Raw genomic sequence first — 21,732 nt, forward strand, 5'->3', positions numbered from 1 at the left:
TAAAATAGCAGAAGGTAAATTATTTTTTAAACCAAGTATTTCTGAATTTTGTTATTTGATTATATCAAAAGCATATGTAATGTATTAAAATTATATAAATATGAATCACACAAATTTATATACAAAAGCCTTCCCATATGCAGAAAGCATAATAATATGAAGACATGGAAAACTATAATAAAAATATAGAAAATATATTAATAAAAATGTGCATATCTATGTATGTATGTATGCACACATTTGTGTTTTCACGTCTATATTTTGGTTTCCAACAAATTAACTGGGCAATGTGTATATTTTCAATTCCATCAAAGTGCTCATTAGAATACTGACAACGAAATGGCTGTTTAGTCATGTTTAGAGCAGATGAATGAGGAAAGGATAGGTCCTTTACTTCCAATAACGGCATTATATTGATAGATGGGTAAAAAGAAAAAGTGCAAACCTCAATTCATCTTTGTTTCCACCTACTCTATAAAAGATAATTATCCTCAAATAGGAAAGGATAAGAACAAATATTGACTAGAGATAACAGCTAAGAAAATAAAATAATCACAAAATATAATGCATGAGCTCTATGTTTTCAATAAGTTTCAACTAGGCAATTGATAATAAAAGGAACTGAGAGAACTTGCAATGAAATGATCAAAGATTAGCTTTTATGGAATCATAAGAATAATCAGATTTTAGAAGTTTCAGGATAAGCATTGGAATTCTCATTTGTTTCTTAGTTTAAGGAAAAATGTGAACTTCAAAACTTCATTTACTAGTTAATAATATTCCCACATAAGGGAATAAAACATTTTATTAAAAAGTTTGGAATGTTATTTATAGTATCAGGTGACAAGGAAGCACCAAAGCTTTATGCATCAAGAGCAAGTCATGTCAAACCAACCTTGCTTCCTCTTCTGACTGTGTTACTAGCCTGGAAAATGAGGAAAATACGTTGAAAGTTGTTTCTGACTTTTGGCAAGACATTTTTTAAAATCTCTAATTATATTGTTATAAATAAGATTAGGAAATTCTTGGTATTATGAATGAAAATAATTCATTCATCGTATGCAAAATATACTTAGCAAATATTATCAATGATCCATAATTAGAAGTTCTATTAATACTTTGAAGATACTTATTCAACAACTGTAGCAGACTTGAGTTCACCTACAATGAGCCAGACACACTGCCAGGTGCTAGGGTGAAATTTATGAATAATACATAGAGGAGCTCACAATGTCAGAAGTTTAAAATAAATTCATCAGGACAGAAATATAAGCTTAAGTTATGTCCTAGTACAGTTGCTGGAACATACTATGGAGCCAAATTACTATTTTTAAATTAATGAATCAATCAGTAAATCAAGCAGAGGTAAAAATCAATATTCAGCTAAAGTTAGGCCAAAGTTAAATATTACCACCAGAGAAGGAACTGTTTGGAGAAAAGATTAAGCAATGTCATCCAAAAGTAATGATTATTATAATTTTGTATTTAAAATGTACTAGATTTTTAAAGTTTGACATTATAGTTAGGAACAATGATTCCTCTGCCTTGTCAGCTGCAAGATTGCTCCTGTGGTCAATGTACTGCACATTTATGTTACCAAATAGGAGCTCACTTGCAATAGAGGTCACTGGAAAAGGAAAGAAAATCAAGGGTATCTTGCCCTTTTCTAGCAGTTTCTTCATATTCTACATTTATGACTGGATTGATGATGATATCATGGATGTTGTTTACATGATTCTGGATAGTTTTGCACTCATGTAATTTCAGTGCAGCAGAATTGACATTCTGCTTTTAATATACCCCATACGTTGTGAAAAACTCTCCCAATAAGATCTTACTTCACAATTTCTGGCTTAAGTGAATTGAAATAACTTTTAGTTAGGAATAACTTTTAGGGGTAATTTGGCTTAAAGTTATAAATGTTACTGTAACAATTATATAAAAAAGAATTGCGATATAATTTAATATCAGTTATTCTTTATATTCATGTTTATATTTTATAAATATTTATTAGCTCAGAAAGGTTACTATATTTTTTCTAAAGTTATCTATATAATGCAGTTTTAATATTTCTATTGCCTTTCAATCTCTTTTCATATTTATTAGATTTTAAGAAGTGTTTAACTGCTTTCGCTCATAAAATTAACTATAAAATTAATTTTTAATTACTGTAAGATTGCCCACTTCCATTATCAAAATAAATTTATTTATCTATTGGCTGACAGAATTCTAATACATTAAAGACAAGGAAATTTTCATTCTATATTATATCTAAAATGTTTATCTGTATTCAAAAGTGAATATCCAGAAGTTAGTAATAAGTCTCATTGGCATGCCTTGTTTGTACTACTCACTTTGCTAACTAGCTTTGATGGTAACCCATGTGATCACGATGTGTTGATCATGCATAATTTGAAGGATATCAGATAGTGTGAAGTACTTTGGCCCTCCAAAGGCTGAAGCCAAAGCTAAATATATAATTTTGATTGAATACCAAGGCTAATATCAAGTTATACATCTTAGAAGTGCTAATTTTTTAAAGATTACCCCTTTGAATATCTACTACACATTGCATGAAGGTCAAAAGAACATACTTGCTGAAGGTCAACATAATATTGGGAGCTGTACCTTCCTTTAGTAGTAAAACAAGCATTGCCCTTTGCCCTCATGGAGCCTACAGTTTAGTTTTCAAGGGATAGCAAAGAGTAAGCAAATTATCACAAAAATAAATGTATAATTTAAAACTGCAGTATGTTCCATGAAGGAAAATACAAGGTGCTTTGAAACCAGATTGAGGGAAGTAATTTAAATGAGGAGTCAAGAAAAGCCTCTTTGAGAAGATGGCATTTAAGCTAAGAGTGAATAGATACGTGGGATTCAGTAAAGTGAAGTAAGGGAGAGAGTATGCCAGAAAAAAGAGCAGGCCGATAGAGCCAGTTGTCCTGACGGGACTGAGTCAGGAAAAGAGTTGCAGATAAACTTCTGGAGGGATTTTTAGGGGCCAGACCTTTTAAGCTCTAACCATACATGTTAAACATTTTTTATTTTTATTCAGATATAATGGGAAGTATTTGAAGGGTTGTAAATAGGATATTTTCATTTTTTTAAATATTGTTCAGGCTGCTCAATGGAGAAGGGATTCAAGAAAAGAATGAAACCAACAAGTTAGAGTATTTTAAATAATTCTTAGAAATGAACTATTATCCATCTTTACCCATGCTATTAGACTTTTTGTGTTTTTGCAGATTGAAGAATTTACCATTCTCATTTACCAAACTTAAAGAGCTTGCAGCTTTGTGGCTTTCTGACAATCAGGTAAAAGGTTTTATTGCCTGATTTATTTATTAAGATGAACTATAATTGAAAGTTTGAATTACTAATTTATTCCCAATAGATACCTTTGACAGCAGCTACAAAATGTAGATTGTTTTTATCCCCAGAAAGAGAGAATTTTGTAAAGATAGCAATTCAAACATTGCTGAAGTCAAAACAGTACTGTAAGCCCCACCCTCCTTAAATACTTCTATTTAACATCTACTTAATTCTCTGAGATCTAATACACAAAATGATCATTTTTATAGCTTTTTAACTTCTAGGTGGTACACGTAGGTCCTTAGAGGATGTACTTTAATTATATCTCTGAAGGTAAAGAATAAGAAATTGTTACCACAATCCCCACAACAGGGAATTATTATCCTCTATGTTCCTCTTTCTTCTTATCCTTTTAATTATAATCAACTTAATTCAAAAGCTTCATTAATGACATTTGAAATATCAGGCTGGGCGCGGTGGCTCATGCTGTAATCCCAACACTTTGGGAGGCCGAGGCACACAGATCACTTGAGGTCAGGAGTTCAAGACCAGCCTGACCAATGTGGTGAAACCCTGTCTCTATTAAAAATACCAAATTAGCCCAGCACGGCAGCATGCCTGTAATCCCAGCTACTCGGGAGGCTGAGGCAGGAGAATCGCTTGAACCCGGGGGGCACAGGTTGCAGTGAGTCTAGATCACTCCAGCCTGGGTGACACAGCGAGACTCTGTCTCAGAAAAAAAAAAAAAAAGGAATTTGCAATATCTTTTTGGCAACTATTAGTATTTTCTGTAAAATTGTTTTGATATTATTTTTTATCCTCTTGAAAACAGATTTTAATTGAATCAGTAATATTGCATTAGTAAATAATTTTATTAACTGGAAAATAACAAGAAACCATTGAAGATAACTGATTTGCCTACAGAAGAACTAATGATAGACAATTTTTATATAGTTTATTAGTCCTCTTTTTTCTTGTGATCCTTAAATTTTGAAACACCTATCCTCAAATATGAATGGCTAAATGAAAACAATTCATCTTGAATTTAGCTCATCATTATTTTCTGAGCATAAAAGTAGCATTACTGGTACGTGAATTGTTCATATTTACAGTCATTGGACACTTGTGGAAAATTTAAAATAACCTTTACAAATTATAAAATCTAAATATAAGAATATTGTTTGTGTTCCTACAGTAATTACAGCATTTGCTTCCATCTGAGTCAAAAATTAGTAATTCAAATTCAAATCTTATCAATAAACTATAGATTTTTCAAGGCATCAATATATCATCATAAATAATTTCTGGAATCAATGTGAACTATGCTAATGTAATAGTATATTCCACAGTATTGCATTATGGGAAAAAAATATGATTTATTATTCTTGTGGGAGAATGAACAGAGCAGTGACTGCATCATTTAACTTTTATTTAGAAGAGTAATGTAATGTGGTTATGACTCAGTTTCATGAGACAAACTGATATCAAAAATCCCCTTTGTGTTTCACTCCTATTAATGTCATTAAATAAGCAGATTTTTAGTATATTAGATAATATCATTTCCAATATATTTCTGACATGGACTATCAGAGTTCTAGAATATCCCTTCAGAATGAATATTTCTGAAATCAAACTAATAACAGAATGAAATATGCACAGAGGTCAATATATTATGATATATCAGGTACAAGTACAGTTGCTTATCTATAAAGTGGACCCTGTCTTTGGCTATAAAAATATCTCTTATAAATAAGTGAATGCTGTTTTAACCTAATTAAATTCATAGATGATCTTGCATAGCATAAATTTGATAGCAAATTCCATTTGTCTTTCTAGGGCAATAATCCATGAAAATGAATAGGCATATAGAACTGTACCAAAAGCTTACTTAGTTGAAACAATTTAACACATTTTGAACTGTTCAGGATTAAATCTGACATTGCCCAGTTGAATAGGTTTTGATAAGTTTTGTAAAAGGATATACTAAAGAAGAAGAAAACTTTATTATGAAAATCTTAGAATATGAAAATATTCCTCAGTAATAGTATTATTTCATGTTGTAATTTCTTATTTTATTTCTTTTTTCACTTTTTCCCCCCAATGTTTATTTATCTGAGTGAGACCAGACTATTGACTGTTATATATTTGCAATTGTATTCATCTAATTTGTATGTTCTTTGCTTCTAGTCCAAAGCCCTTATCCCTTTACAAACAGAAGCCCATCCAGAAACAAAGCAAAGAGTATTGACTAACTACATGTTTCCCCAGCAGCCTCGTGGTGATGAAGGTAAATTGTCAGTAGAAATTTCTTCTCTACTTATAATGATTATGGATAGAAATAACTAATTTTATTCAGATCTCTGGCCAGGAGTACTGGCACATGGACAAGCTTATAAAGATAATTACATGACACACAAATATCATTTGGGGATGTACTTTAAGCATAAGTCTTATTTTCTACTCTATTTTAGATAAGCTTCCAAAACAAAACTCTTCATCTTTATATCTTACATAAAAATAATGTTGATTTTTAGGAGCAACTATTTCTCTTTATGGATTGCAAGACACATGACTAGTAAAGCAGATCTGGTAACCAGCTAATTGAAATGAGCTAAGAGCAGTCAGATCCTAAGGAAGTTTCAATGAACTGGTTTAGTTGCTGTGTTCATTTATTGCATGAACACAATTTAAACATCTAGTCCAATGATCTCTGGACTCAAATTATTTCATGGTCTAAGTCAACCATAAATAGATACTTGCAAATAAGACCATTCTTTCTTTTCAAGTTGAGTTTCCCTAACCAATATCCCTAAATCCTTTTTCAATAATTAAATCTTCTCTTCTATGATCACATTATTCATTTAAAAAGGTTAAAAGAGCTTTTTGTCCTTTGCTATTTGAAACTTAGCATAGGCTCCTTAGCCCAAGCCAACACAAGCTGATATGAACATTTTCTATAGTTATGGAGTAACAATAATTCTTGGAAGAGTAAACTTATTTTAATCCAGCCATGGATTAAATCTACTCAATCCATGTGAATGAGGCCAACTTGTAAAAGAAACCATTTGTTTATGTATTTCTTATTTCCAGGGATAATTATAATAAATGACTTTAGTCTTTGACCTCCAAATGTAAGTGAATCATTTTGGAATATTTTAGGATATTTTTCTTTAAATTTTGTCTACAGAAGTAGGAAAAGAAAAGATTGTTTTAATATGTATTTTTATAAGTCAATAAAATTAACCTTTTGAATTGATAAAAGAAAAACCACCATGTTTACACATTTTATAAGAGACATCTTAAGTAAGGATTATGTTATATTCATGCAGCTTTACTTATATTTTCATTTTAATAGCTCTACATTATCAAAATATTTAACTTCAAAAGAATATAGGGAAAAAGTGAAAAGTATCTCATATTCACTGGTCATTTCTGAGATATGATCTCACAGATTGAATCCCTAATTTGTCCCAAGGTAGATTCAGTTAGGTAAGGTGTAGTGTTAAGGAATTAGCCTAGCTGAGTTTGCTTTTGTTTTTGTTTTTTTCTTTGAGAAAAGAAAGGTTGGTAATTGAAAAGTTTCCTCGAACTTAAATTAAGTCATCCTTTGGTTTTCCAGGCAGGAGTGTAATAAATGAGTTTTCAGAATCCCTTGTAACAAAGAAAGACATATATGATAAAGGACCTCCTTTGGAAAAGAATTTAGCCTTAACTAAGTACTTTTATTGCATTTTCATGTGATCTTTGCCATAATGTTGCAAAGAAGATATTATCATTAGCCAACATTTTATGTAAAAAAAAGATTCATAAGCCATTTCCCTGTTAATTTGACATATTTAAACTAACTGCAACAGACTAAATTTTCCACGTTTTCTACCAAAAAACAAGCTCCCCTCATTGACCCCACAATAAAAGGAAAAGGTTGCAATCTTAGATACCTTATTGCAAAGTCAATGTTATGTGGTAACTTTTATAAAAGAAATTTGTATAGAGTTTAGCAGTTACAAATAAGGATTCTATTTAGACAGGAACAGAATCCTGCACTAGCCACTGAGAAGTCTCTTAACACTTTGAGCAAGTCCCTTAAAACTCATTAGTAAAGTAAGGATGAGATTAGTAATACCATTGTGTTGTTGTAAGGATTGAAAAAGATAACGCTTTAAAATGCTTGGTCTAACTCTCTATATTATTATTATTGTCCTATGGGGACCCCATTTCCTACACTAGAAAATTTCCCGATCCTGAGTATTTTAGGAATACTGAATTTGAGTTAAGATTACAAAAGACCATGTAATAAATATCAAGGGAATTTTATTCTTTTCTCTTTCCTTCTTTCTCTTTCTTTTTTTCTTTCTTTCTTCTTTATTTCCGTATTTGTTTGTAGTATCTATCACCATTTTTGCATACTATATTAAATACTTTGTGTAAAATTGTTTTTTAAAAAAACAATAATACTTTGGAATCTAACTGTAGATTTCCAGTCAGACAGTGACAGCTTTAACCCTACACTGTGGGAAGAGCAGAGACAACAACGCATGACTGTTGCCTTTGAATTTGAAGACAAAAAAGAAGATGACGAAAATGCTGGGAAAGTTAAGGTGAACCTTTTAGCTTTTGTTTCCTCTTTCTTCTCCTTATCTTTTTGTTTGTCCGTTTTTCTTATTCAGATAGATTTTGGGACAAAGTCAGATACTTCTTCAAGTCTCATGGCGGTACCTTTCATTACAGCATGCTGGTAGTTCTGGAAGCATTGGTGTGCTTCAGAATGAGACTAATGTCCCAAATCTGAGTGAGCAAATTTGAAATGCCACTTCATCCAACAGAATAACTGCATGAGAGAGATTCAAGCTGAGGGAAAGTAGAAAAAAAAATCTGTGTGATAGACTTCATCTAAGAACCTTATTTCATTGTTGACATGCTACACACTACGATGATTTTTTTTAATCACTGAGCAAAGCGTCATGCAGACTGAATAAGGCCAAAATAAACATTTCTGGAAGGGCCAACAGATTAATATGTTACATTGGCATTAAAATCTCTGAAAAGTTCTGTGTCCTTGGGCTATTCAAGAAGAATTTATGAGTTTCCTTAAATATGAGAACAAATTTTAAGGAAGATTAGTGCCTAATGGCAGGTGATGTTCCTTAGGGAACATAACTTCAATTTTTTTTACCTCAAAGTATGTTTTAAAAGATCTTTTATAGGGACTACTAGGTCAAGTAACAAGATTGAATTTTAAAATATGTATTTCTCCATTACTTACATTTTTAATTATCATCAGAATTGATTTAGATTTTCTCAACATCACATTTTCATGTTGGCATGGCAACATCTTGAATCTCTCATTTACTTTTTATAACATTGTATGTGTACTTTTTCTATCATGGCTACTAACAGCTCTCACTCTTAGTGACTAATTACCTTTATAATTGCATATGTGTTCTATTAATAAAGCTAGATTGTGTGTTATGTTTGTCTCTGTCCTCTCCTTTCCACATTTTCTAAACTTTATTTCTTAAATCAGCACATGAGCACTTACTGGCAAGGCCTACCAATATCGTTACGGAGAACCCAAAATGGATTCCCAAATCCAAAATAACAATTTTGTTAAAGATTTGGGTTTTAAAAAAAATGTCTCTAGATAGTTGATTAGTGCTGTCTAACAACCAAAGAGACATCTTTTTGAACTTGTGAATTCCTAGAAAAAATAATGCTAAACTGAAAACATACCTTCAGAACATTTCAGTTCTTTTACGGATTTTGTATGTTAAATCCAGAACCAATGGATGATGCATTCTATACCGGACTTCTGATTCATCTTTATATTTCATTGAATTACCAAAAATTGCATGCTTCTTCCTGAAATTCTGTATTCAAAGAATGCAAGAAGAAAGTGCATTTAATATACTCTGGTATATGTGTCAATGAAAACGTAAAATATAGTAAATACTTACAGTTATTTAGAAGCCCTGTTTGTGTGTTATGTGTTCAAGTTTGTTTATAATCAGAGTAGGTTCATTATACTTTAGAGTGTTTTTTCTCTGTATTTACATTTGGTTTATTTATGTATTAATGAAACAATGTGTGTTTCAAAATCTCAAACTACTCAGTTTTGACTAATTTGAATATTTCCAATGCCATTGGCTATTGGACAAATTAGAGCACAAACGAACTTCTAAATAAATCATCATGGAAGTATGATGAATAGAATATATTGTAATCTTACACTAAATCACACTTTTCTGGTTCATTACATGTACATTAAATTCAGCACCATTTTACCTTTAATTTACATGAAATTTAAAAAGGAACCATTGACCTATGCTTTCAACTTTCAAATGGACTAGAGTATAATGCCCTACTTACAGTCTGTATAGTGTAGTATGAATGCTGCATTGTGTGAAGAAATTGTGACCCTTTAGCATCATATAAAATTAGTACTGTTTTATACATGGATTTAAAACTAACTTTATGATCATTATTTTAAATGCATAACTCAGAGTGAAAGAAAAAGAGAGTAGAAAAATGATAAAGTGAAAGTATTGCTACAGTGCTCCTCTTTCTCCCAGAAAATGGAGATTCCTTCTCCCACAGGATCTCTCCTGCCAAGCCCCCTGGGAAAGGGGCCAGCGTGGGATTACTCTCCAACCTGCCAGACTGTCTGGCGATTGCTGCACACCATGGGCCAGGTGTGATCAGCAGATCCAAGATATGCCCGTCCCCCAGAATGACCCACAGCTGGCATGGGGTTGTATAAGTGGCCTCCAGCAGGAAAGGAGCATGTGTACTCCATTGCCAGTTGCAGCACAATCCACCACTCTTCCCTCTCTAAGTGGCAGACAGGTAGGCCTAGGTGTCTGGGGTAGGAGAATCTCCCATGTAGAGGCAACCTTGGAACAGTGGTTTATGGGGTATGTTCTGCATGATTTGGGGTAAGAAATGTTGATCACATAGAAACCTTCAAATTGCCAGTGTTTTATCTCAATTTAACATTTTGTTTATTGACATTGGCAATGGGGTGGGGAGGACTAAGTCAGAGGGGAGGGAATATCAATGTGAGGTGCCTATTGGTGGGATATCTGGCATGGTTTTTGAGTTGGGTGCTTTTTTTTTTCTTTAATTTAAAGTGTGGGAATACCAATAGTTGGGCAGAATGTTGATGACACTATTGATACATTCTAAATTGTCTCCTCCACATATATGCACATTTTTTATAATGTGAATTCTGGGGGAGATTAAATAGCTAAAACTTAATTCTTAAAATAGCATCAGATTTAAATTGAGATTTGCTGAGAGTGGCCTTTAAGCACAAAGATAGACATCTGTTGAAAAGCATCAATTTCCTTTAATTTGAAGACACAAATCGTATGAATTCCTGTAAGAGAAGATTGAATTGGGAGTTGTGGCAAATAGGGCTTCCTTATCTCTGTGGTTGGGTGTTTTAAGAGGTTAATGGGGGGAAAAACATGTCTTACTGGAATATGAAAGAACACTGCATGTCTTGTAAACTTTACTATCCACATGTAATGGACTAGATACTTATCCATTGTCTTATATTTTTGCTACAATATAAGGCAAGCTGAGAATGCATTTTCCTAACTAAAATTGCTATAAGTTTCTTTTCTTTGTATAACATTCCAACTAATTCTCGAAGTAATATAATATTTAACAATCAATGATCAAAGTATTAACTAATATTTCTCTTACTGGAATTTACAATCAAATCAAATTAGAATTTGATCATGATGTGAAATATATTATATTACATAATATATTATAATATATTAAAAAACAGTTCTGTGTGAATTCAAGATATCATTTCTAAATGCCCTAGCTATTAACCTTAAGTGATTCTTTATTGCTAAATTTTTGGGGGTCTCCAACATCTTGCAGCTGCTATTTGCATTTACTGCACTTTATTTACATCTAAGATACAAAGAATGTTGCGAAACATTTCTTTTTTTCAAAATTAAAGTAATATTTTAGTAAAAATCTTGCATTTTAATAAAATGTATATGTGAACTGAGCAAATACTTTATAGTGAGTGATCAACACAACACAGTTTTGCAAGAATATAATTGATTTTCCTACCTATGTGTATAATAAATGAATTTATATATTTTATCTCATGCTGGAATAAGAGAACATTTATAGTCTATATATTTAGATATATACAGAAATTGCTCTTATATTTGGGTATTACTTAACTATTAGTATAACTGGGTCTATGATCATGTTTATTCACTTCTGATGCACTGCATATACCCAATGAAAAATAAAGCAAAGCAATCTATAAATGGGCATAAAATATGCTTGCATAGAACTTCCAAACATAATACAATGATAAATTATAGTTTCATCTTTAAAAATTATAAAATATTGTGTTACTTAGCTTTATTTAAAAAAATAGAAATTATTTTGCCATTTAACTCAGAGAAATTCACATTTTAAACTTACAGTATTTCTTCCACAATATTGTACAAATATGTGCTGCACCCACACTCTGAGCTAAGTAACACTTGTGTAGCATAAGCACTGGAGTCAAAAGACCTAAGTCTGAATATTGCATCTACTAGCTATGTAATCTTAGGCAAGTTACTTACATGGTCTGAGCCACACTTTTCTTTCTGTAAAGTGGCAACAGCTGCTGCAATGGGTTGTGAAACTTAAGTGAGATTTTATTATAATGATTAATTATATAATATTTAATAATTAATCATTTATTTTTAGTGTATAAATATTAATTTATATTTAAACCTATAGAATTAATAATAATGTTTATGTAAATAATTAATAATAAATTAAATATCCCTGTAAAACATTTATCATGGTGACTGGAACATGGGAGATACTGAATTAAATAACTGTTGCTATGTATAATTGAAAAAAGATCCAGACAGTTACAGATATTATGTTTAGACATATACAGAGTAGAGTCAAGATCACCAAAGGAATCCAGATTTTTAAAATACATTAAGTAAAATGTGACATTAGAAGTAGTATCTCATCTCTGCATAGAACTTACAGATTTTCCAAGAACTTTCACATTTTTCACATTTTAGCTCCGGATTAACTCAAATTTGTAGGAAATATATTATCATTTCCATTTTACATGAGTAGAAACAACAGAAAGATTAGTGGATGATAGCTAGTTGGGAATAAATCTATTTCTTAAATTTAAATCTTCTGACTCCAAGGCCAGTAAATTCTGCTAGTAGGCTAGTAAGTGAGAAGCAAGGAGCTTATTTTTTAGGTGAAACAAATGCAAGCTTTATAAGACCTGGAACTTCCTCAATTTAAGGGGGGGGGGGTCCTCTTTCAGAAAAAGAATATAAAATGACTATGTAAATAATAGGGTCCCTCACAAGACTTTGGAAGAGGTGTGTAGCTTAAGCTTCATTAATGCATAGTAAATCTATTTCTAGATTTAAATGTCACAGGAATAAAATATTCAAACATATTCTGGGGATGTGACCAAAATATCACATGTGCTTGCTTATAAAATAACCAGAAAATATTAGTACCATGCCAAATAGTGATCTAATTGTGTCAGATGGGACACAGCATCTAACAAAAAATACATTACATTATTCAATGAAGTATTTAATTCAGTTAAGGAAGAACACTTCACATTTCTTTTGCCTTCCATTCAATTTCTAAGTGTAGTTTTAGTGTTGGGGATTTTTTAAGTTGCATAGAATTTTAATTTAATGCCCTACTTTAGCTTATTTTTTATTCACATACAGCTGGTTATAAAAAATAAAATGTTCTTAATTGGCATGATAGTCATAGCATTCTACAACTTACATTTTTAATGTAATTTTTTTTACTTCTAGCACTTTGATGTCAAGTACTTTTAAACAAGTTCAATGATACAATTTAAAAATTATACTTAATTTGTGATTAACATTTCTAATACCAACTTAAACAACAGATCTAAGAATGCATGCATCCCAATGGACTTTGTCTAGTAGTCATATCATTCCTTTTATGTTTATTTAAGAATACATTACAAATTAAGTACCCTGGGACTTATTTATACTACAATCTAACAACTTACACTTTTTTTTCTGTCAATTCTAACTTTGTCTTGGGTTATATTTTTGTAGCTATATTTCTATATATTATCAATGTCATCCTTATTTATTTGAGAGTTTAAAGAGATTAAACTACATTTAAACAGCACTTACATTAACAAAATTATCTGGTTTTTCATTTGTTTTCCAAATATTTACTGGAATAATAATTTTATATCTTTAATATTAAAAGGAATGTTAGAAGTCATCTAGTGAAGTCCAATTCTAGTATTTGATGAGAAAAAATGAGCCACAAGGAAGACAAAATGTCGAGAAGAATAACACAGTTGGTGGATTTGCTAAAACTGCAGATGGGCAAAAGTGTTTGAATTCACATTCATAGTTTTCAGATCTATATCACCATCATAGTTTCTTACATCCCATGAATTACATGGGTGTGTGGGGGTGGGTGCGGATGTGCCCCTCACTCTTTCTCTCCCTTTTCCGATCTTCCTCTTCCTTTCACTGCTTCTCTTTCACCTTCTCTCCTCATACCCTCCCACCCCCACACACACTTTCCACAGATACATACCTACCACAATCACATAAATCATTTCATTTTGTAAAGTTGATTCTACTCAGATGCAAAACAGTATTGTTGGAACAAGCCAGGCCAAGTAAATCCTTTTTTTCCCAGTCCCTTTTAATTTGCATGCACAACTTGTACTTATTCTATTTTAAATATATTATAACAAGTACCGTGATGATGAAATATTCTATATGGAATGTCTCATATTTTCTCCCTCTAAATTTAATGCTAAGAATAGTCATTAACATGTGTTCCCAAAAGTTATATTGATAACCTAACATGAATTCAAGAATGGAAATAAGTAGCTGGATAGATAAAAGCCAAATTTTACACATGTACCTAAAATATCTTAGAAAGTGGTCCCAATTTTTAATTTCTCTTCATTATAAGATATTACTCAAGAAGCATGTTACTTTCTTAGGGTAAAAAGTAAATATAAAAACCACCCTGAAGCATTTTTTCCCCTTAGGGATTAATGAGAATTAGCTATCCTACCTTTTGATATAACACACTAACTAACAGAAGGCTAATGCCTATTTAGGCAGCAGATATTGTCAACTCCCCAGTTTTTAACATGCAACTCTACTTGTAAAGCTTTTGGGGTCTCCTCCCATCAGCTGCATTGCTACTCAAAAGATACTCTTAATATCAACATTATTACTTATAAATATTAAAATAGGGAAGAGAACAGTGTCTAAAGTAAGAAAACAGCTGCTATAACTTGATTAAATTTTTCAAATTACCAATCACTTAAGTGTTTTGACCTACTGCTATTTCAGCCATCTATAGGGTAGGTCTAAAGACAGAATATGATTCAAAATTAGTTTATAATCTAGAAGGGTGGGAAGGGGTGAGAAGTCCCAGAAGGCTGAATATGAGAACACTATGCGTCCTACTCTATAACAGAGTTTCTCAGCCAGCTCAACACTCACTGTATTGCATTTGATTATACTACTGAATATAAAATGGGATAGTTTTGTGAACATGCTTGCTGAAGTTATTTTTATGTTAAATTTCTTTTTGTAAACTTCTAGGTTGAAATAAACCTAAAACGATATCCAACTCCTTACCCAGAGGATTTAAAGAATATGGTAAAATCTGTTCAAAATTTGGTGGGTAAGCCAAGCCATGGAGTGCGTGTTGAGAATTCAAATCCAACTGCTAACACGGAGCAAACTGTGAAAGAAAAATATGAACACAAGTGGCCGGTAGCCCCAAAGGAGATTACAGTGGAGGTATTTGAAGGTTATTGGTAATTGCCAGTGTGGTTTGGATTTTTTGGAATTTTAAATATGTTTTTTAACTGAATAGATCTTCCTTGATAAGTGCATTTTTTTCCTAAAATATAAATGATCTCTCTACTTTTTCAAACTATGAGGGTTGCATTTAATCAGTCATAGAAAAATGATACCCTCATGGCCTAAAATCATTAACATAGCTCCAAAAGTTCCAATACACACAGAATGAATAAGTTCGTCACCCAGCAAGGCCTGGCCAGTGAGTGCGTTATATCATATTAGTGACATTATTTTGGCTACCCCAAACTTTTGTTGTATTAATCATTAAGAAAGACTAATCCAAGGTTTTCTATTATGCAAATCTCATAAAATTCCTAATTAGATCTAGAGCACAATTTTTAAAATGTTTTTATCTTTGGGTTACAACTTTTCTAGGAAACACCGATTAACAATAAAAAGAGGACATAACTTTGAAATTTAGATTTATGGAATCTAGTCATGTGAAGCTTAATTCCTATATTTTAGAATGAGTTAGAAATCCATCCTTATTGATTTTGTGGTCTGAAAAGAATTCAACTACACTTATGCCACCTCTACTATTTCATCAACTCTTCAGCTAATTTGGTTATCATATTTTTATCTTCATTAGAAACATAATTGATCTGAGTACATCTGTAAGTTCACGTAACTACTTCTCCAAAATCTAGAGTGGCAAAACTCTTTTACAAATCTGCATTTCAGAGCATCATTTTGTTGCATTTATTAAACACCAACTGCATATGTAACACTGTGCCAAACACTGTGAGAGAGAGAAAAGAAATATAAAATGTGTCAATAATACCCCAATAATTTAAAGCTGATACACTTAAGACACATGAAACAATTAAAGAGCATATTATCTAAAATATGATCACATGGTTAGTTGAGTGATGGAGAATATAATGCTCCAAGTTTAGTTTAGACTGTATATTAAAGGTAGGGTGATTCTGTTAAAGAGGAAAAGGGAGGAGGGCATTCCAAGCAAAGGGAAGATCTTGAGCAAAAATAAGCATAGTGTGCACATCTGCCAGCAGAGGTACCAACCTACCCTAGAGGAGGGGAATACAGCTAGATTTCTAAGGGAAAAAAAATTAGCATTCATTTTCATTGTTTTTTGCTTATAAAATCAGTATCATTATACTTTTTCCTTTCCAAAATATTATGCACATATTATAGTAAAGCAACAGACTGTTCTTTTATCTCAAAGATCTCGCTGCAATATAAAGGGGAAGGAAACCAACATTTAGCAGATACACACTAAATACATACATATACGTTTTATATTTAAATATCCTGTAATCACAGTTTAACATCAAAATAACTGGTGGTCATGAAAATCTATAAACTGGATAATTTTACTATAAAATAAGAGTCTAAAATGTCTTCATGTAGGGATGGGATAGATGAGACTTTGGTTATGAATTTAATAATAAATCTTAAAACTGTCTCAAAATCAGGTCAAGCATAACAAATCCAAAATTAGATTTAATGTTTCCTTTGCAAACTTGCTTTTGCTTTCATGTTCCTGACCTTGATCTCACTGGCACCATTATCCTCCATTTCATTCAAGTAGAAATTCGAGAGATGTCCTGATTTCTTTCTCCTTCTTTCTCTCCACTTCCTATCTCTTCCAAATAATTACCAAAGCCTGTGCATTCTCACCTAAGTGTATCATTTCTACCTCCTCAAGCCCTCAACTCTGTCCTGCATTACTATAAAAAAATACCCACTTTTTGGCTTCCCTTGTCCCCAGCCTCCTCATTGCCTTGTCAATGATCTTTCTAAAAAAGAATTCTAATCATTTCCTTGCCCTCCTTAAAAACACTACAGTGACTTCTTATTGCTAAGGCTAAGATTAAAGCTCAACTTTCAGCTTTAAATTTGTCTGTGTGATTTGCACCACCCCTTTCCTAGCTTTCTTCTACTAGTCTTTTCCTCTTGAACAGAAATTTCACTGGTAATTTCAATACTTTATCTAAAATTGAGATTCTAGATCTTCTCTCTCTAACTTTTAACCATCCTACAGCAAAGAGGAACTGTTGCTTTCTGTATTATCCTCCTGCCTCAAATTAACTGCAGCCAAAGTAAAGGGTCACACTCTATTTTTCAATGTCCAGATTTAATAAATGCAGATAACCAAGCATTTAGCTGATCAGTGCATACTAAACATTTATAATATGTTTTGCACTTCTATGCCATTTTTTGAATCATTGTTATTAGTTCACACTGCAAAGGATATGGAAGAGGGTATTATACACTGCATGATATATTTATTCATGTGATTAAATATAGAAAACCCCCAAAAAAAGAATAAAGGTAGGCATGACCAGAAGTGGAAAACGGAAAAAATAAATAAGGTAAAAAGATTACAAATGCAACTAAGGGGAAAAAGGAAAGGTAAATATTTATTGCTCACTTTCATTTTGCCAACTAGATGCCAATAGTTTTAACATACATTATGCCAGACAAAGAACAGGGCTGGCGGAGCCATAAGAAAAAGGAGGACAGGGAGATTTTCCTTTATAATGCCTTGTGCAGTTTGCATTTGCCTTTTCCCCAGATCTCTTTATATGGCTAGCACTTCCTCATCCTTCAAGTTTCAGCTTAAAGGCCACCTCAGCAGGAAGGCCTTCCCTGATCACTCTGATCAGTTGGACCCTCTGATATCCTCTATCATGTCACATTGTCACATTAAATATAATGAACAGTTATGATTACTTTGTTTATTGACTTCAGACTGTGAGTTTCATGAAGGCAGGGATGCTTTCTTTCTTGTCCATCCTTGTATTGCCTGAGTCTAGCACAGTGCCTAGGATAGAGTAGGAGCAAAATAAATATTTGTTGAATAAATGAATGATTGATATAGTCCAGTATAATGACTCTGGTAACATGTCTGTCTCTCCATTCAATTAGATATTCATTGAAATCAAGGACAATTTCTGAGTTTTTTTGAATTAATAATTAATTGATACCTATCCACACTTCATCACCTATGTGTTCAATACACTCTTGGTATATAAATGCCCACAGCGTCTCAGTGATGTTATGGTGATCCTAGACCAAAATAAATACCTAGGAGTTTCATTTAAGTTGTTATAGCCAAACAGCTTAGTAAATATTTATGCCCTACTTTGTGGTCATTTGAAAAAATCAATGCACATAAGTTGAAAGAGAAAATAATATTTTTACCTTATTCTTAAGAAATCAAAGCCAAAATATTAATGGCATACATGCACCTGTTAAACACCACCTATCTTCTCACAGCTAGGAATCATAGTAGACACCACAATTTTAATTTCTGTTTATCATTGATTTTCAAATGCCACTTGGTTTTTTATCACAGCAACCACCAAAAACCCAGCTTCACAAGGATTTTCTTTTTTTTTTTTTTTCCTTTTTCTTTTGAGACGGAGTCTCGCTCTGTTGCCAGGCTGGAGTGCAGTGGTGCGATCTCAGCTCACTGCAACTTCCGACTCCCTGGTTCAAGCGATTCTCCTGCCTCAGCCTCCTGAGTAGCTGGGATTACAGGCACGTGCCAGCACAGCCAGCTCATTTTTGTATTTTTAGTAGAGACAGTGTTTCACCATGTTGGCCAGGATGGTCTCGATCTCCTGACATCATAATCCACCCACCTTGGCTTCCCAAAGTGCTGGGATTACAGGCGTGAGCCACCGCTCCCGGCCAAGGATTTTCATCAAAAAGAATGTGCGATCTAATGTTGTAACTGAGAGCTACCTCAAGCTAGCCATTTGCACAGTGTCTGTCTAATGTCAATTATTGCTTTGTTTCCCTCAAACATTTAATGTAACTCACAGTGTCCCTGTTAATTGCAACAACACCCATGGGTGCCTCAGAGTACAGTTTGAGAATCAAGGGGTAGGGCTTTTAAATCTAGCAGACATGAATTGAAATCTTGGCTCCACCTTGTGACCTTGACAAGTCAAGTCTCTAAAACCTTTCTGATCCTTGGTTTCTTTATCTTAAAAAAAAAAAGCACAAAACAGAAAATATGGTAACACCTATTTATATACAGCTCCAAGCACAGTTATTGACACAGAGGAAGCCTACAGTAAATAATTCCCTCTTCTTTTTCAAGAGAATTATGTGCCAATTCCTTCCCCATCCTCCTTTAATCCTTCTGCAAGTAACTACCAAGATACCTGTTCACCATCCCAAAATGTTCTGCATTTTTCCCTTTGTTAGGGGACTCAGCCCAATTTTTTTCTATAGAGGAACATCTTTCTTCCAGTAACAGAGAATTGTCCATTACCCTCAAAATTTTCCTTAAATTACTTTTATTCATGCTAGGCCTAGACTCTCAAAAGCTCAGAAATAAGCTTGCTTTCTTTCCTTTGACTTCTTCCTGAGGCTTCTTTTCTTTATGGCAGTAGCAGCCAAGATGCAGTTTGAACAGTGGAAGGGCAATTGTGAGAAAAAGGACATTTTACCTTTTCTTTCCCTCTCATTTCTGTCTCCTCACCAGAAAGAAAATATGGTTCAATGTACTTACAATGGAATCCCCACTAAATTCTGTTTTCTACCAAAAATTTCCTCTGTCATTGCCCGTAGAAGTAGTCCCCAAAACTTTGCCCACTTTTCCAAAAGGAACTCAATTCCTCTAGCCTCTATAAAAGAATTTATAGAAACAAAATTAGTGATTTATTTCCTTTGTTGGATAGTTAACTTTACTTTGTGAAACCCATGTGAGAAATGAGCTGTTCTCAGGATAGACAATACAGCATACACAGTATCACATAGATCTTTGAGTAGCGCAGATCCCAGTTCAAATCTTGGCTTTACCACTTATTAGGTTTGTGACTTAGAATTATGATTTTACCTCACTGAGCCTCCATTTCCTTATCTGCAGAACAAAAAATGATGATAATAAATAAATACCACATAATGATAAAAAATAAGGTTGTCTTTTAAATAATTAACAAGGATAATATAGATAGAGTGTTTAGCATAGTAGCACCGCAGCAGATGTAATCAGTGCCATGTAATTTATGGCCATTATCATCATTGTCGTCATTATCATCATTGTCATCATCATCATCATCACTTCGTTCATAAGGGTAAGAGAATCTACTCAGATCAGTGCAAATTCATCATTCTTGTTTCAATAATGTCCTTCTAAGAAGAAATACAAGTTCATAATTAGCTGATAATCATCCTCTCTTCCTGGTCACTAAGGCTGTTTTTGATTCACAATAGAAATTCTGAAACAGGATCAGAAACTTGAACCTGAGTCAAACCAGAGCTACCATGCAGAGTTCCGGTCATAATTTTGGTATACAAGTTTGAAAGTCGAATCAATACAAACAAGATGACCTGAGTACTGAATGTGTAGAACATAAGGGAAAAAAGCAAAACCCATAATTATGTTAACATTCTGTACTTGTACAGCTATTTGGATTGCTTTTTTGTGTTTCTATTCTATTTTTGTTTTTCTTTTGAATAAAACAAAATTCCCATTCTTGTAATTAGGTATCATAGGAATATTTTTAAATTATTATTTCAACAAATAACTTACCTTTAGATTCATAGAATGTTAGTACTAGACAGGAATTGGCACTAATTCCTATTACTGATTACCTTTATTTTAATGATGATAATGCCCAGAGAAGTACACTGACTTGCCCAAGGTGACCTGATTAATAAAATATAAAAATAGAAATAGGATGAAAATATGACACCTTGTAACAAATTTTTTGGCAAGTCAGCATATTTTATGCCTTTCAGGGTACTGTTTCTCAAACTCATATCTTCTTATAAATTTCTCCAAAGGTATATAAAGGCTTTTATCCTCCCTTCTGTCACCTTAAAACTGTCATACATTTCTTATGCTAAATCTTTGAACTAACTTTCAAAATCAATCAAAATGAATAATATGTACCCTCTGAAATAATTTTCAAAATCAATCAAAATAAAGAAAATATGGCCTCTTTAAAAGGATTTATAAAAAAAAAAGTCAGCGATTAATTTCTTTTGTTGAGTAGTTATCTTTCCTCTGTGAAGCCCGTGTGAAAAATGAGCTTTACTTAGGATAGGCAATATGGCATACACAGTATCACATAGAACACCTTTGAGTAGCAAATATAGCCTCTTCAACTACTGAATTTTCCATTCTACTCCTTTTCCTGTTCCTCTTTGCAATCTGATACCTCATTTTAAGTTCTTTGTGTGCTCACAGCTGAGCTCACCAGGAGGCAGCACAAGGTAAGGAAAGATCACTGGAATGGAGCCCAGGAGAATCCTGCTGCAGTGCTGGATCTTCGTCTAATCATCTGTGTAACCTAGGCCTAAGCTGAGTCTCAGAACCCGCCTCTAGAAAACAAAAGTGTTGGACTAAATGATCTTTCCCTTTTCTTTTATTGAAATATTCTATTTAAAAAATTAACAAGTAACAGATATACCCAGGTTTTTCAGGCAAATATTTCCATACAAACCTAACCCAAAAGAATCCCAAAAGATAGAACTTAAACCAAGATGTGCTTCTCTGCAATAACCAAAGACCTGAGCATGTCACTATGGGGGT

General features: G+C 32.8%; 1 protein-coding gene across 6 annotated transcripts in view; it reads left to right on the plus strand.

The window, feature by feature from the left end:
• The window catches only part of LRRC7 (leucine rich repeat containing 7), a 576,443-nt gene that overhangs the window by 445,298 nt on the left and 109,413 nt on the right, over nt 1-21,732 (plus strand). For all 6 annotated transcript variants that reach the window (NM_001330635.3, NM_001366839.3, NM_001370785.2 and 3 more), the window contains 5 exons: nt 3,246-3,315; nt 5,500-5,599; nt 7,786-7,910; nt 9,907-10,155; nt 14,952-15,152. In NM_001330635.3, the coding sequence (NP_001317564.1) occupies nt 3,246-3,315; nt 5,500-5,599; nt 7,786-7,910; nt 9,907-10,155; nt 14,952-15,152 (745 nt within the window). The remainder of the gene's footprint in view (nt 1-3,245; nt 3,316-5,499; nt 5,600-7,785; nt 7,911-9,906; nt 10,156-14,951; nt 15,153-21,732) is intronic.

This window comes from Homo sapiens, chromosome 1, assembly GCF_000001405.40.
Source record: "Homo sapiens chromosome 1, GRCh38.p14 Primary Assembly".
NCBI classification, from domain to species: Eukaryota; Metazoa; Chordata; class Mammalia; order Primates; family Hominidae; genus Homo; species Homo sapiens.